A 17,628-nucleotide genomic window follows, 5' to 3' on the forward strand; every position below is an offset into this window, starting at 1 on the left:
CTCACATCATGCTGCCTCTCAAGTGAAGACTGATCTTTCCTAGAACACAGATTTTAGCATCCTTGTCCAGGACTTTTTTCAGCTTAGAGCATTTCCAGTGCATTGGCACTGCATCCTTTTCCTCACTAGAGCTGGCATCACTTGAAGGAGTTATAGGCAAGATAGTGACTGAGAGGCCTGTGCTGAGTGTGAGAAATGCACTCCCTTAGAGAAATGAGTGTGAGGGTTAGCAGCTGTGAGAACACGAGAATTAAAACATTTGCACCCCATTGGAGTCCTAACACCTGGTTGGAAGACAAACTCTTCAATCAGAATTTGTCATAGTGAACACATATTTTTAAACTTAAGCCTTTTCTGCAGTAAGGATACTAAAGCAATTCTTCAACGTGCACCACATAACTGTGGCTGTAGGTCTTCCTCTGCAGGTGACACTGATTAAAGTGTTTTCGGATGTCAACAGAACATCATTAAGTATGAGTCTTTAAAGGTCAACGCTGAGAAAGTTCTCAGCTAATGAGACATTAGCAAAATTACTAGCAGCTGACCATAAAAGAAAGAAGCAGAAACTTAAAATGTTAACCAGGAGTGAGAACATTCATGATGTGAGTAAAAAAAAAAAAGACATAGGAACTTAGAGGATCTATGAAATGTGAATCATGTTTTATCACGTCATCGCAGGGCTCTGGAGGCAATTAATATTTATTAATAGCCACTGGGGAAAATACTGTTTTTCCTACTGCCCCTCTAGTACAATCTTAAATTTTTACAGAAATTTCATATGAATATTAATTTCCAAAATGGCAAAAGGAAGGTTTTATTTACTTTTGCATGGAAAAGCAGTAAGTGACTTGAAAACATCTCTGTCAATACTTAATAAATAGAAAGATAATAGATAGGTATTAAATGTAAAAATGGTTATAAATGATTATTTAGTGGAAGTCCTGGTCCACAGGTCACTAAAGGTTAGCTTGAATATTTCTGAATAATCAACAGCTTCTCAATTCAATGGTAAAATGAAAAATGATGGTAAACATATCATTAAACAAATGACATGTGTCAGACAAGGCTGTACTTAATATTTGCTTCGCAACTGAGGGTAATTCACTGTGTTTGGGTATAGTTCCATGCAACTGAAAAACATACCACTACCTTATTACAAAAGAAAGTAAGAGCAGGAGCTGTAAGTGATGCTTTTTTTCCATGAAGAAATAAAAATTCTTTGCTCTTGTATAGCACTTTGTACTCAAGGGACTTTAATTCATCACTTTATAGTTACAAATACACTAAACCACCACAGCATATCTGTGAAAAATACATCCAGTAAACTGATATCAGAAAGGGGATTGAATAGAGATGCAAATTTTAAACATACAGCTTGTGGCAGAGAGGATAATGCCCCCAACAAAGCTTGCTTACATCCTAATCCCCAGAACCTGTGAAGATGTGAGGTTGCGTGACAAAGGAGAATTGAGGTTGAAGGTGGAATTACAATTGCTAATCAGCTGATTTTAAAATAGGGAAAGTATCCTGGATTATCCAGATGAGCTTACTACAATCACAAGGGCCCTTAAAAGTAGAAGAGGAAAGCAAGAAAGGGGGCCAGGGTGATGTGATGCGATGGTGATGGTGATGGTGATGGTGATGGTGATGGCGATGGCGATGGCGATGGTGATGGTGATGGTGATGTGACGTGACGTGATGTGATAAGGGCTTGACCCACTGTTGTTGACCTTGAGTGGAAGAGAAATGCAGTAGCCTCTAAAAGCTGGAAAAGACATAAAACCAGATTCTCCCCTCAGAGCCTCCAGAAAGGAATGCAGCCCTGCCCACACCTTGATTTTAGCTCAGTGAGACCCATGTTGGATTTCTGACCTACAACTGCAAGATAATAAATCTGTAATGTTTGAAGCCACCAAATTTGTAGTAATTTGTTTTAGCAGCTGCAGGAAATTAATGTATGGCTGCTTAATCAATTAGGAGCAATTAATGCAAATAAGTCACGGAAGACTATAAATAACCAATTTAAACAACCAAAAAATAACATTTAACTTGGAACAAAAGTTCATTTTTGAAGTAATAAAAGCAGAAGCACACAAATCTCTTGGCTTAAAGAAATACGGAAAAGGAAATATGTACGAGGAATGTTTTTTCATTTCCACTAGAATACTAGAAGAGAAAAGGAATTAATAAAAAGAACATATTGATCTACAATATGAGGTAAGAGTTTTAAAAATAATTGGAATAGCCTTCTTGGAGTTGTGGAATCTTTATCCCTAGGTTCTTTGAGATGCACAGTGACCTATTTTATCTGCCCTAAATGACTTCAATAGCTACTTTCCTGATGACAGGACTTAGATTAAACAATCTCTCACATCCTCTTCCAGCCTAAATATTCTACACAGAGTGAAGTCTATTCAATTCTGTGGCACAAATATTTAGTGCCTATCTACCTAATGTAAATTATTTTGATATGAATAACCAAAGAATAAGGCATAGCTTGACTTTAAGAAGTTTTCAGTATTATAGTTAACCAAAGTAAATAATCGAGCATATTTAAGCTAGACTGAAAGAATCATAAGGCATACATAAGTGATATATTGATAAAAACCCATTAAATATATAAAAATCAATGCATTCTTATTGGCCCTAAAACCCAACCAACAAACACTGTCACTAGTCATCTTTGGAAATAATCAGAGCATCAACTCATAACAATGAAAATTTACCCTGCCTTTCTTATTGAAAGTAACGGCAAAAACTGCAATAACTTTTGTACCAACCTAATAAAACCAATATATATGGAAAATTAAAAAGCAGATGAGAGAAATTTATTCTTTATCATTGGCTAAAATAGGGAGAAAGAATAATAGAATGAGAAAATTGCTGTTTATAACTCCTGAATAAAATAATAGATCTGGGCAATTATTATCAAAAGATGCTAAAACCATTAGGTGAAAATTTGATGGAGAATTTTATTGTGAGAGACCAGGCTGAGACCACCTAAACACATCAGTCTTAGGATCACTAAATGGGACAGGCAGCCATTATGCACCTCTTTTTGTGAGTCATTAGGAAATACATAGTACCACCTGTAAAGTACTACATTCCCCCTTCCCGCAAATTCAAATCTAATACAGCCTCTAGATCTAATTACATCTTCGTAGGAAATACAGGGGATAGGAGGAGCCAGCTCAGAAAATACAGAATGGAAGCAACCAGTTCCATATTCTATAATATAGAATACGGACATTCTCTGTGATAAATGACCCAATTTCTCTAGAAATCAATGACATTTAAAAAGAGAAGGTAGAGAGGATTGTTACAGAATAAAAGATACTTAAGAGGCATAATCCAATATATCATATAGACCTGTTTGGATCCTGATTCACACAAACCAACCCTGAAAAGACATTTTTAAGATCACTAGAGAAATTTAAATATGTTCTAGGTATAAAATGGTATTATAGAATTATTGTTATGTGATAAAAGCACAGTGTTATTAAAAATATTTTTTATCTGTTAGAGATGCATACTGAAACATTTTTAGATAAAGAAATGTGATACCTGGTTATGCTTTAAATACCCAGCAATGAATACAGTATGTATGAAAGAATACACAAAACAAGATTAGCAAAACAGTGATATATATTCAAGCTGCATGCTGAGATATGAAGGTTCATTTTAATACTCTTTCCTTGGTTGTCTGAAATTTCCTGTAATAAAAAACTTTAAAGAATGAACATAATATAAATAAATAAAAGTGTCCCTAGTCCATTTAATCAATTTTCATCATTGAAACAGTGAAAGGTTAAAATATTTGTGCAACAAATTCTCTTCAGTTTTCTGAACATATTTTTTATCAGTAATAATTTGACTTCTATTACTTTAAGATTGAACACTTTTCACCTTATATGGAAAAAGAGCTTACAATTGACCCAAATTTCAATTTATATAACAAAAAAACTATCATAATAAAATATTACTCCTAATGCTCAATGAAAAAAGGGGTAATATGTCATCTGTTTCTATTTGTGTGGGGGCAAACACACGGCTTCCGGTCACTTTTTATACTAAAAATTGAATAGAGTGGAGACTTCTTTATGGTTTTTGTGGTCAAGGTTAGTGTTATTACATTTGTCAGAAATGCTTACCTCTCAGTTTTTTGGTAACAAACTAGTAGGTTTGCTTTAAAGTGTTTGTCTTATGTAAAATCTAGTTTAGATGCTTAATTAACAATATTACTCTGTTGCCAGATTTTGAAGTCCAACAGAGACGTCTGTATGAGAAACAAGAGGCTACAGGACAAAATAGATTCATCTTCAACATTCCCTGCATATTATCAGAGCTGATATAAAGTAATTGAATTCATAGGATAACACCTCTGAAACTTATAGGAAAGCTCCTAAGCAATAATCCTAGCAGTGGAACAAAATATAAACCTCTTATTAGACTATCCAGAAAGCCTTTAAAAGTATTCACAACAATAGAGGATCCTTTAAATATTTATATATTTATTTATTTATTTGACAGAGTCTCACTCTGTTGTGCAGGCTGGAGTGCAGTGATGTTATCACGGCTCACTGCAGCCTCAGCCTCCCCATGCTCAAGAGATCCTCCCACTTTAGCCTCACAAGTAGCTGGGACTACAAGGCGTGAGCTACCGTGCCTGGTAAATTTTTGTATTTTTTGTAGAGAGGGGATTTCGTCATGTTGCCCAGGCTGTCTAGAACTCCTTGGCTCGAGTGATCTGCCCACCTCAGCCTCCCAAAGTGCTGTGATTACAGATGTGAGACACTGTGCCAGGCTTAAAAAAAAAATTATTCTTAAATGGTTTTATTTGCAAATAATTTTTCTGGAGAAGGCTCAAAAGTGACCCACATCCTCAATTTACATTTTAACATAATTTAAAACATTTTTAAAGCAATATAAAATTTTATAATACATAGAAAAACTTTAATCTTTTTTCTCTGAAATACTCTAAATTTTTAAAAATATAATACTTTTTTTTAAAATGTAGCTTTTCATGAAAATACACTCAAAATGCTGTAGTTGTACTATCAAAAGATAGTAAGGTACAGCACTAAGGAAAACTAGTCCACATAAAATATGTTACAGAGACTTAATCCCAGACATTTCAGCTGTTTTTGTCCTTATGAATTCTTGAGTTATATAGCCAGGGAGAATGAAGATAACTATTTCTGCATGTAATAATTTTTTTAATGTAAAGAATTATGCTATGAGTTACAACAATTATGAAGATGTCTTGTAATTCTACCATTTGATTAAGCTAAGGATGTAGAAAAAATAGTTCTTGACATCAAGATTTGTAGGTCATGTTACACCCCCCCACCTCTTACCTCCTTTCCTTCCCAGCCCGATACCCAAACACCTTACCAACTATAGCTTCTGTGAATTTCCCTTCAGCGGGAAGAGGGAAGTACTGGTTTGGTGATACATTGCTGCCATATCCCAGGAGAAGACCTTCAAGCTTTACATTTGGACTTGGACGCAAGAACTTCAAGAGGATGGAGTCACTTGTGGTATTGATGTGGACTTTGAGGTTTGGCCTTTTACCTAACAATGGGAATGAAAACATCGATGGCTGTTACTTCCCCTTTTTAGCATCCTACCCAACTTCCCAGCAAGTGTTGGTGGCTAGAGGCATTGTTCTTGAAAAACATGTTGTCTACTTTGCTACTCAGTATTACAGCACACACCCAAACGCCCAAAATGAAGCTAAATAACATAGAGCAGCCTAGAATAAAAAGTATATCTTACTGTTCAATACTTAGTAGTTTATTATTGGGCAGGTAGATGCAATTTGGTTTATTTTGGCTCTTCAAAGTTGGCCAGAACCTTTGCTTTATACACACTGTCTGGGTATGGTGAAAGGACCTGAATTTTTTTATTGGTAAAATTGAATTACTACAGCTCAAAAACGCCCAGCCTCCTTTATGAGGCTTTCCAGTGCCACATCCACAGGTCTTAGTCATTGACAGAGTTGGAAACAGAGGGAAGAAAAAAGATTTTTGTCTTAGGGATAACTGACATGGTAGAATAGGGAATGCTGGAAGGCAGAGAACGGTTGAGGAGGAAAATGATTAGTTCCATTGGGAGTACATCTGGGAGTACATCTGGAAATACATGGAGATGCCCAGTAGTGAGTGGGATTTCTAAGTGTGATACTCAGGATGGGGGTCGAGACCCATCTGGGTGTCATTAGCTTATAAGTGATAATTGGATGAACTTTCCCAGAGAGATGCCAAGAATGAGAAGAGAGACCTTAATCAAATTCTCAAGACATTTATTTTTAAACTACTAAGGCAACAGAGGCAAATAATCACACTAACTAAAGGTCTTGACCAAATGGTGAGGAAACACATTGTCTTTTGCCTTTGGAGCCAGAAGGAACCAGGTTCAAACCCCACTTCTGTGACTCTGGCATCCCACTGAAGATACTCGAGCCTTATCTTCCTGGTTTCTAAGTGATATATAACATTTACCTTCTTGCTGAGTTATTTACAAAGGTTAGTGTATTAGTCTGTTGTGGCACTGCTATAAAGAGATATCTGAAACTGCGTAATTTATAAAGAAAAGAGGTTTAATTGGCTCATGGTTCCTAAGGCTGTACAGGAAGCATGGCTGGGGAAATGCAGGGAACTTTCATGGCAGAAGGTGAAAGCAAAGCAGGCAAGTCTTACATGGCCAGAGTAGGAGGAAGAGAAAGAGGAAGGTGCCACATACCTTTAAACAACCAGATCTTGTGCAAACTCTATCACTAGGGGGAGGTTGCTAAACCATTAGAAACCACCCTTGTGATCCAATCACCTCCCACCAGGCCTTACCTCTAACATTGGGGATTACAATTCAACATGAGATTTGAATGGGGACATAGAGCCAAATCATATCAATCAGTTAATGTAAATGGCACAACCTTAAACCTGGCCCATAGTAATTGCTCAACAAGTGCTTACTAATACAGGTCCACAGTTCTTTAGCCATGATTCAGAAATCAAAAAACTTTGTAGTTTTTTTGTGTCTTTTTTTTTTTTTTTGTAAGTTTATCTCAGACTCATCTGGCAACACATCCCAGTCAGAACCATCCTGAGGCCATTCAATCTTTCTTTAATCCACTAGGGTGACTATTCATGTGTTTCATTGAAGAAATGTGTTCAGTTAGATGGTGTTGATCAAGACCCCATTGAGGAAGTTATGTAATATATAATCTTGGCATCCTAGTTCTTTTCTAACCCTCCTCTCCAAATTTCTGAATTCCAAAACATGTCTGGCCCCAGGGGTTTTAGATAAAGGATTCTGAACCTGGATTATGTTTTTTCTTTATTCCCCAGAGATTTAATATTTAAAAAATATTTTGACTATTGAAAAGACTGCATTTACTGACTTAATAATTCACATTCTATTTCTCATTAATCAAAGACTTAGATTGTACAAATACCAATCACCACTTTTGTGCAGCATGTGCTCCCCAACATCATCACAATGAATTTATTCTACGCCACCCAAAATCAGCCTGCACAGCCTCAATAGAACCACAGAAAATGTTCAATTAGGCCTTTGGAAAAAGAAAAATAACCCTTTCTTGGATACCAAGTTGTGGGGATTATTCATACCTCAGCAGCTAAGGCTATAGTTTCCATGTATGTGCATAGTAGTTTTTACTTTCCAAGAACTTGATGACATTTTTATAAACTTCTTGAATCTCAGACTGCTATTGTTATACTGTGGCAAAATAAAAAGCCAGGGATATGAGTGGCTTATCCAAAATCTGAAAAGGGACCTTACAAATCAGCTAGTATAATTCCTCCAAATGAGGAAATTGAGGCGCCCAGCACGTTAAAAGTGGGTCAAAACTAGATCTTGGGCTCTCTCTAGGCTGGACTGCACTGCTCTCTTTTCACTGAGAACTTTGTAACTATCCAAAAGAGTAAGGAGTGGCCACACCACAGATCATAATGCTCAAGTTGGGGTGCCAACTGCTAGTGTTTTGTGTGAACTTTGCCAGGTTTTGATAAGATGATTTATACTTCAGATAAAACACAGATTTTGTCAATTTTTTCCCTTTTTAATAATGTGCCTAGATTAACTCTAGTTACTTCACCCTGCTCAATAGAATGGAACCAATGTAAAATCGAACACATATTCTGCTACCTTAGAAGGCTATCAAGTCTCACAACGAATCTAAACTCAACCAGCTTATTTCCAACACTTAGTTGGGAGGGAGCATTTAACAAATCTTAGTACACGTAGGCTGCATTCATATTTGACAAAGAGCCAACAGTCACAGCATCATCATCACGTTAGACTTTTGCTCATGGACTCTGGCCTGATGAATCACATTATTTCTCCCATGGGAAAGTGGAAAAGATGGCTACATCAGATGAGAACAAGGAAGGCTGTTCCATTTTTCCAAACAAAGTGGAAGTAATCCACCTCCTGTGCACAGGACTTTTCATGACTCCAGTCTCTCTCCCTTTTGCTAACAATGTATATCCACAAATACATCAACATCATATAACTATTCAAATGAATTGGCATTTAGCTGTTCTACTTTTTCTAAAATTCCAGTTCATACTACTCTCTCGAGCTAAATTTAAAATGTTCTGAAAGAGAAAAATACATACAGACAAATCTCATCTCAACACAGCATCACAAACTTAATTTTAAGACCATTACCTGAGTTCTTTTTTTAGAGCCAGTAACTCAAATGTCTTCATTATCTTACCACACATTACTTCTTCTCTTATTACTTTTCAACATTTCTCATTTGTTTTTGACCCTTACAATCCTCTCACATTCTGCAATGCATATGAGGCTTTGGCCCTACACCTTTGCTCAGGTTGTCCACCCAGTATGGATTCCCTCTATCTTTGGTTTGCCTTCCCTACATGCCTTGACTTACTCAGTTATTACCAAATTGACTCTTTCAGTGTCAGCAAAAAGGTTAAGCAAGTTTTTTTTTCCTTCAATATAAATAAGTTCAAGTGTTCCTTTGAACGAATGTTTAGATGTGTATTAAATGACATTTTACACTCTTGGACAATTTCTCCAATAATTTGAGGTATGCCTATGTACATTCTACACTAATGTTTAATCTTTGATAATACATTTATTTTCAGTGTAATTCTGGTTTAGTAGTTTGGAATACTAGTCATAAAATGGCATCTTTCAACAGTTAGTATAAAGACCTCTGGTGAGTGCCTTAAGGTAGGGATCATAGAAAATAATACCACATGATACAAGCTTAACTAGTACAACATCTATAAGTAAAAATGGTATATATGTCACCAGAAGAGCCCAGGAATTCAGAAAAATAAGACTACTGGAAGAACGTTTTATTGCACCGTATATGAGGAACAAAGCATATGTCAACAGGAGTGAGAAAAAATAAAAACAGAAGGTAAACATTTTGGGAAAGTAACACTAGTAGGCCTTAGACAAAAAATTGCATATTTGCAAAGTAGAATCTTGGATCTACGATGGTGGTTTCTAATCCTTTGTTTGCAACACCTTAGTGCATCTGTTAATATTTCAAAGAGTGTTAAGAAATTCTTTTAAAAAAAGTCTTTCTCAGAAATGACAAAGGTGACACTACCACTGATCCCACAGAAATCCAAAAAACCCTCAGAGACTATTACAAATACCTCTATGCACACAAACTAGAAAACCTAGAAGAAATGGATAAATTACTGGAACCATACAACCTCCCAAGATTGAACCAGGAAGAAACTGAAATCCTGAATAGATTAATGAGTTATAAAATTGAATCAGTAACAAAAAGCCTACCAACCTGAAAAGGCCCTGAGCCAGAGAGATTCACAGCCAAATTCCACCTATAAAGATGAACTGGTACCAATCCTACTGAAATTATTCCCCAAAAAATTGAGGAGGAGGGACTCCTCCATAACTCATTCTATGAGGCCAGTATCATTCTAATACCAAAACCTGGCAGAAACACAATGAAAAAAGAAAACTTCAGGCCAATATCCCTGATGAACATAGATGCAGAAATCCTCAACAAAATACTAGCAAATCAATCCAGTTGCACATGAAAAAGCTAATTTGCCATGATCAAGTAGGCTTTATTTCTGAGTTGTAAGGTTGGCTTAACATATGCAAATTAATAAATGTGATTCATCACATAAACAGAACTAAAAACAAAAACTGCACGATCATCTCAATAAATGCACAAAAGACTTTTGATAAAATTCAACATCCTTCCATGTTAAAAATCCTCAACAAACTAGGCATCGAAGGACCATAGCTCAAAATAATAAGAGCCATCTATGACAAACCCACAGCCAGCCAACATCATGCTGAACATTCAAAAGCTGGAAGCATTTTCTCTGAGAACTGGCACAAGACAGGGATGCCCACTCTCACCATTCCTATTCAACATAGTACTGGAAGTCTTAGCTAGAGCAATCAGGAAAGAGAAAGCAAGAGAAAGAAATAAAAGACATACAAATAGGAAGAGAGGAAGTCAAACTGTTTCTCTGCAGATAATATAATTCTGTACCTAGAAAATCCTGTAGTCTCTGCCAAAAGGCTACTAGAAATGATAAACAACTTCAGCAAGTTTCAGGATACAAAATCAATGGACAAAAATTAGTAGCATTTCTATACATCAATAATGTCCAAACGAAGGGCCAAATCAAGAATACAATACCATTCACAATAGCCACACACACAAAAAAAAACTACTTAGGAATACAGCTAACCATGGAGGTAAAAGATCTCTACAACAAGAATTACGAAACACTGCTGAAAGAAATCAAAGATGATACAAAAAATGGAAAACATCTCATGCTCATGAATAGGAAGAATCAATATTGGTAAAATGGCCATACTGCCCACAGCAATGTACAGATTCAATGTTCTTTCTATCAACTACGAATGACATTTTTTTCACAGAACTAGAAAAAACTATTCTAAAATTCATATGGAACCACAAAACAGCCCAAGTAGCCAAAGCAATTCTAAACAAAAAGAACAAAGCTAGAGGCATCAAACTACCTGCCTTCAAACTATACTACAGGACCACAGTAACCAAAACGGCATGGTACTAGTACAAAAACAGACACATAGGCCAATGTAACAGGTTAGAAAGCCCAGAAATAAGGACACACACCTACAACAATCTGATTTTCAACAAAGCCGAAAAAAAACAAGCAATAGGGAAAGGACTCCCTATTCAGTAAATGGAGTGGGATAATGGTTAGCCATATGCAGAAGATTGAAGCTGGATCCCTTCCTTTCACCATATATAAAAATCAACTCAACATGGATTAAAGACAAATGTAAAACCTAAAACTATAAAAACCTCAGAGGAAAATCTAGGGCGTATCATTCTGGACATAGGCCTTCGCAAAGATTTCATGACAAAGTCTCCCAAACAAAAACAAAAATGGAGAAGTGGGACTTAATTAAACTAAGGAGCTTCTGCACAGCAAACAAAACTATCAACAGAGCAAACAGACAGCCTATAGAAAGGGAGAAAATATTTGCAAACTACTCATCTGACAAAGGTCTAATATCCAGAATCTATAAGAAACTTGAACAAATCAACAAGCAGAAAAACCAAATAACCCCATTTTAAAAAATAGGCAAATCATAGGAACAGACACTTCTCAAAAGAAGACATACGTGTGGCCAACAAGCACATGAAAAAGTTCCCAACATCACTAATCGTTACAGAAATGCACATCAAAACCACAACGAGACATCATCTCACACCATCAGAATGGCTATTATTAAAAAGTCAGAAGATAACAGATGCTGGCGAGGTTGTGGAGAAAAGGGAATGTTTACACACTGCTAGTGGGAATGTAAATTAGTTCAGCCATTGTGGAAGGCAGTTTGGAGATTTTTCAAAGAACTTAAAACAGAACTGTCATTCAACCCAGCAATCCCATTACTGGGTATATACCCAAAGGAATAAAAATCATTTTACCAAAAAGACACATAACCCTAACACATGGTACTCAGTGAGACAAGCTAAACTATCATGGACATCCAGTCACTTATGGGAGAGAAAGGAATCATCATTATAATCCATTTAGTAGGAGGAATTCTTTCATATCTAATCTTTCATAAGGTTATCTTACATTCTCCAGAATATTTCAGAATGTGGTTTAAATTGTTGATCTCAAGTTGGTCAACATAATAAAATTACTTCAAGAGAAAAGCTGCAAAATATTAAAGCACTCTTCTAAAAGTAGATAATACTTATTAGTGTAGCAACAATTATTATTTTATGTTTTCAATGTGGCAGACACTAACAAAGAAATTAAGATTATTCTAAATAGCACATATAGACTTAAAACAGATCAGGTACCGTATTAATTGCCATAAGATACTAAGTAAAAGAATAGCTATAATACTGATGTCAATAAAATAATAACATCATTTCAGGATTAAACACATAACCCTATTCTTATCCATAGTGTGTTCTTCTTTTATTGCACAATTTTCACTTACAGTGCCAACCTCTATACCTACTCAGCTACTTATTTCATTATACAAAATCAAATTTTCTAAGATATCAAAATAATAAAGTCAATTCCTGTCAGTTGAGATATGGCATATGAAGCACAGATTTTAAAAACTGATAAATTGGACTAGGTCAAATTTTTAAAGTTTTGAATTTTAAAAGAACTAACAAGAAAAAAAAAAGGCAAGCTACCCATTGGGAGACAATATTTGCAATATATATATATATCTATTGAAGGACTTGTATTTATGTAAAGAAAATAATTCTTTCTATTCAATAAAAAGAAAGAAAAAACATGAAAAAAATAACAAAAATTTAAATAGATTCCTCATTAAAGGAGACATAGGATAGCCAAGAAGCACATGAAAAAATGCCCAACATCTGGGTTTGGGAGATATTGTCTGTAACGGGTCAGATAGTAAATATTTTAGGTTTGTCAGGACAGATGTTCTGTACCACAACCATTCAACTCTGCCATCATAGCACATAAGCAGCTATAGACATCATATAAACAAATGGACATGGCTAAGTTCCAATAGAGTGATTTTCTTTGTTTTAATCCAATAATAATTTTTTAATTATACTCTAAGTTCTGGGGTACATGTGCAGAACGTGCATGTTTGTTACATAAGTATACACGTGCCATGGTGGTTTGCTGCACCTATCAAGCCATCATCTACATTAGGTATTTCTCCTAATGCTACCCCTCCCCTAACCCCCCACCCCCAAAAAGGCCCTGGTGTGTGATGTTCCCCTCCTTGTGTGCTTGTGTTCTCATTGTCCAACTCCCACTTATGATTGAGAAAATGCAGTGTCTGGTTTTCTGTTCTTGCATTAGTTCGTTGAGAATGATGGTTTCCAGCATCATCCATGTCCCTACAAAGGACATGAACTCATCCTTTTTTATGGCTGCATAGTATTCCATGGTATATATGTGCCACATTTTCCTTATCCAGTCTATCACTGATGGGCATTTGGGTTGGTTCCAAGTCTTTGCTATTGTGAACAGTGCCACAATAAACATATGTGTGTATGTGTCTTTATAGTAGAATGATTTATAATCCTTTGGGTATATACCCAGTAATGGGATTGCTGGGTCAAATGGTATTTCTAGTTCTAGATCCTTGAGGAATCACCACACTGTCTTCCACAATGGTTGGACTGATTTACACTCCCACCAACAGTGTAAAAGTGTTCCTATTTCTCCACATCCTCTCCAGCATCTGTTGTTTCCTGACTTTTTAATGATCACCATTCTAACTGGCATGAGATGGTATCTCATTGTGGTTTTGATTTGCATTTCTCTAATAACCAGTGATGATGAGCTTTTTTTTCATATGTTTGTTGGCTGCATAAATGTCTTCTTTTGAGAAGTGTCTGTTCATATCCTTCACCCACTTTTTGATGGGGTTGTTTTCTTGTAAATTTGTTTAAGTTCTTTGTAGATTCTGGATATTAACCCTTTGTCAGATGGGTAGATTGCAAAAATTTTCTCCCATTCTGTAGGTTGCCTGTTCACTCTGATGATAGTTTCTTTTGCTGTGCAGAAGCTCTTTAGTTTAATCAGATCCGATTTCTCTATTCTGGCTTTTGTTGCCATTGCTTTTGGTGTTTTAGTCATGAAGTCTTTGGCCATGCCAATTTCCTGAATCGTATTGCCTAGGTTTTCTTCTAGGGTTTTTATGATTTTAGATCTTATGTTTAAGTCTTTAATCCATCTTGAGTTAATTTTTGTATAAGGTGTAAGGAACGGATCCAGTTTCTGCTTTTGGCATATGGCTAGCCAGTTTTCCCAATACCATTTATTAAATTGGGAATCCTTTCCCTATTTCTTGTTTTTGTCAGGTTTGTCAAAGATCAGATGGTTGTAGATATGTGGTGTTATTTCTGAGGCCTCTGTTCTGTTCCACTGGTCTATATATCTGTTTTGGTACAAGTACCATGATGTTTTTGTTACTGTAGCATTTTAGTATAGTTTGAAGTCAGGTAGTGTGATGCCTCCAGCTTTGTTCTTTCTGCTTAAGATTGTCTTGGCTATGCAGGCTCTTTTTTTATTCCATATGAAATTGAAAGTAGTTTTTTCCAATTCTGTGAAGAAAGTCAATGGTAATTTGATCAGGATAGGATTAAATCTATAAATTACTTTGGGCAGTATGGCCATTTTCACGATATTGATTCTTCCTATCCATGAGCACGGAATGTTTTTCCATTTGTTTGTGTCCTCTCTTACTTCCTTGAGCAGTGGTTTGTAGTTCTCCTTCAAGAGGCCCTTTGCATCCCTTGTAAGTTGGATTCCTAGGTATTTTATTCTCTTTGTAGCAATTGTGAATGGGAGTTCACTCATGATTTGGCTCTCTGTTTGTCTGTTTTTTGTGTATAGGAAGGTTGTGATTTTTGCACATTGATTTTGTATCCTGAGACTTTGCTGAAGTTGCTTATCAGCTTAAGGAGATTTTGGGCTGAGATGATGGGGTTTTCTAAATATACAATCATGTCATCTGCAAACAGAGACAATTTGACTTCCACTTTTCGTACTTGAGTACCCTTTATTTCTTTCTCTTGCCTGATTGCCCTGGCCAGAACTTCCAACACTATGTTGAATAGGAGTGGGAGAGAGGGCATCCTTGTCTTGTGCCAGTTTTCAAAGGGAATGCTTCCAGTTTTTGCCCATTCAGTATGATATTGGCTGTGGGTTTGTCATAAATAGTTCTTATTATTTTGAGATATGTTCCATCAATGCCTAGTTTATTGAGAGTTTTTAGCATGAAGGGCTTTGAATTTTGTTGAAGGCCTTTTCTGCATCTGTTGAGATAATCATGTGGTTTTTGTCATTGGTTCTGTTTATTTGATGGATTACATTTATTAATTTGCGTATGTTGAACCAGCCTTGCATCCCAGGGATGAAGCCGACTTGATCGTGGTGGATAAGCTTTTTGATGTGCTGCTGGATTTGGTTTGCCAGTATTTTATTGAGGATTTTTGCATCAATGTTCATCAAGGATATTGGCCTGAAATTTTCTTTTTTTGTTGTGTCTCTGCCAGGTTTTGGTATCAGGATGATGCTGGCCTCATAAAATGAGTTAGGGAGAAATCCCTCTTTTTTTATTGTTTTGAAGAGTTTCAGAAGTAATGGTACCAGCTCCTCTTTGTACCTCTGGTAGAATTCGGCTGTGAATCTGTCTGGTCCTGGACTTTTTTTTTGGTTGTTAGGCTATTAATTGCTGCCTCAATTTCCGAACTTGTTATTGGTCTATTCAGGGATTCAGCTTCTTCCTGGTTTAGTCTTGGGAGGGTTATGTGTCCAGAAATTTACCCATTTCTTCTAGATTTACTAGTTTATTTGCATAGAGGTGTTTATAGTATTCTCTGATGGTAGTTTTTATTTCTGTGGGATTGGTGGTAATATCCCCTTTACCATTTTTTATTGCATCTATTTGATTCTTCTCTCTTTTCATCTTTATTAGTCTGGCTAGTGGTCTATCTATTTTGTTGATCTTTTCAAAGAACCAGCTCCTGGATTCACTGAGATTTTGAAGGGTTTTTCATGTCTCTGTCTCCTTCGTTTCTGCTCTGATTTTACTATTCCTTGTCTTCTGCTATCTTTTGAAATTGTTTGCCAATAGAGCAATATTTATAAAAATAGGCAGTGGGCTGGATTTGGCCTGCAGGTCATAGTTTGCCAACTTTTGGTTAATATCATGAGTCATTAGGGAAATGCAAATTAAAACCACAGTGAAATATTACACATAAGAATGGCTGAAATTAAAGACTGCTAATCCCAAGTGTTAGGAAAAATGTAGTACATCTGGAACCTTCATACATTTTGAGTGTAAATTTTAAATGGTCTAACCACTTGGGAAAATGCTTGCCAGTTAGCTAATAACCTATTAATTTCATTCCTAGGTATTTACTCAGGAGAAATGAAGACACAAGTCTGTGCAAAAACTTGTGTGCAAATATTTAAAGCAGTGCCAAACTAGAAACAAACCCAAATGTCCATCAACAGTTGAACAGATAAACATTTATAGCTCATCCCTATAATGAGATATAGCTCAGCAATAAAACAGAACAAATTACCTACATACACAACATAGTTGAATCTTTTGTCTGGCATGCCGTTACGCTACTGTAGAACGGGCTATGACTTTCCTCATCTCCATAACCACCCTATACAGACTCTCCGGATGGAAGGTCATTCAAGCATCTTACAGCACCTGCAGAATTAGTTTTAATAGGGTCTAATATTATTATTCACCACTCAACAAACATAAAGTTAGCAAGTCCTTTTCAGGAATTATTATGCTCTAAGAACGGACAATGCTAAGTTTCCAACGTAGTCTATGCTCTGCTTTGACAGCAGGTTACAAGTAGAAAACGTTCCAATGCCTTTATGGTCACATCAGTTTATGAAGGAGCTGTCAAGATGTCACGTCTCAAGTTTATGTATTAAGCAGGGCAGTCACTGTCAGAAGCTTCCAAAAATCATAGTATATGACATAGATTGTATTAAATTAAACTTTAACACTAAGATATACAAACTATAATCTTAAAAAAGAACAAGAGTAAGTCCTTTGTGGGAACATAGATGGAGCTGGAGGCCATTATCCTTGGTAAACGAACACAAGAACAGAAAACCAAATACTGCATGTTCTCACTTATAAGTGGGGGCTAAACGATGAGAACATATGGACACAAAGAGGGGAACAACACACACTGATGCCTACTTGAAGAAGGAGGATGGGAGGAGGGAGAGGATCAGAAAAAATAACCATTGGGTACTAGGCTTAGTAGCTGGGTGACAAATTAATCTGTACAACAAACTCCTGTGACATGAGTTTCCCTATATAACAAACCTGCACATGTACCCCTGAACCTAAAAGTTAAAAAAAAAAAAACAAGCAAACATAGGGATTGGCAATAATTTAACATTTTCTTTAATTCTTAGGGAGTCGAAAAGGGATCACATAGCATGGGCTTTCTGTTCAAATGACTCTCCCTGTCCTGCCACCAGGAATCCAAGGAAAGGTATTAAAAGGAAAAAACCATGGAGTTTCAGTAATTTCCCTGTGACAATGAAGAATCACTGTGAAGACAGTGGCCAGAGACAATTATACAAG

General features: G+C 36.2%; 1 protein-coding gene across 57 annotated transcripts in view; it reads right to left on the minus strand.

Annotated features, from left to right (window-relative positions):
* The window catches only part of ABI3BP (ABI family member 3 binding protein), a 244,266-nt gene that overhangs the window by 171,752 nt on the left and 54,886 nt on the right, over positions 1 to 17,628 (minus strand). For all 57 annotated transcript variants that reach the window (XM_006713572.4, NM_001377332.1, XM_047447926.1 and 54 more), the window contains exon 2: positions 5,395 to 5,574. In XM_006713572.4, the coding sequence (XP_006713635.1) occupies positions 5,395 to 5,574 (180 nt within the window). The remainder of the gene's footprint in view (positions 1 to 5,394; positions 5,575 to 17,628) is intronic.

This window comes from Homo sapiens, chromosome 3, assembly GCF_000001405.40.
Source record: "Homo sapiens chromosome 3, GRCh38.p14 Primary Assembly".
NCBI lineage: Eukaryota > Metazoa > Chordata > Mammalia > Primates > Hominidae > Homo > Homo sapiens.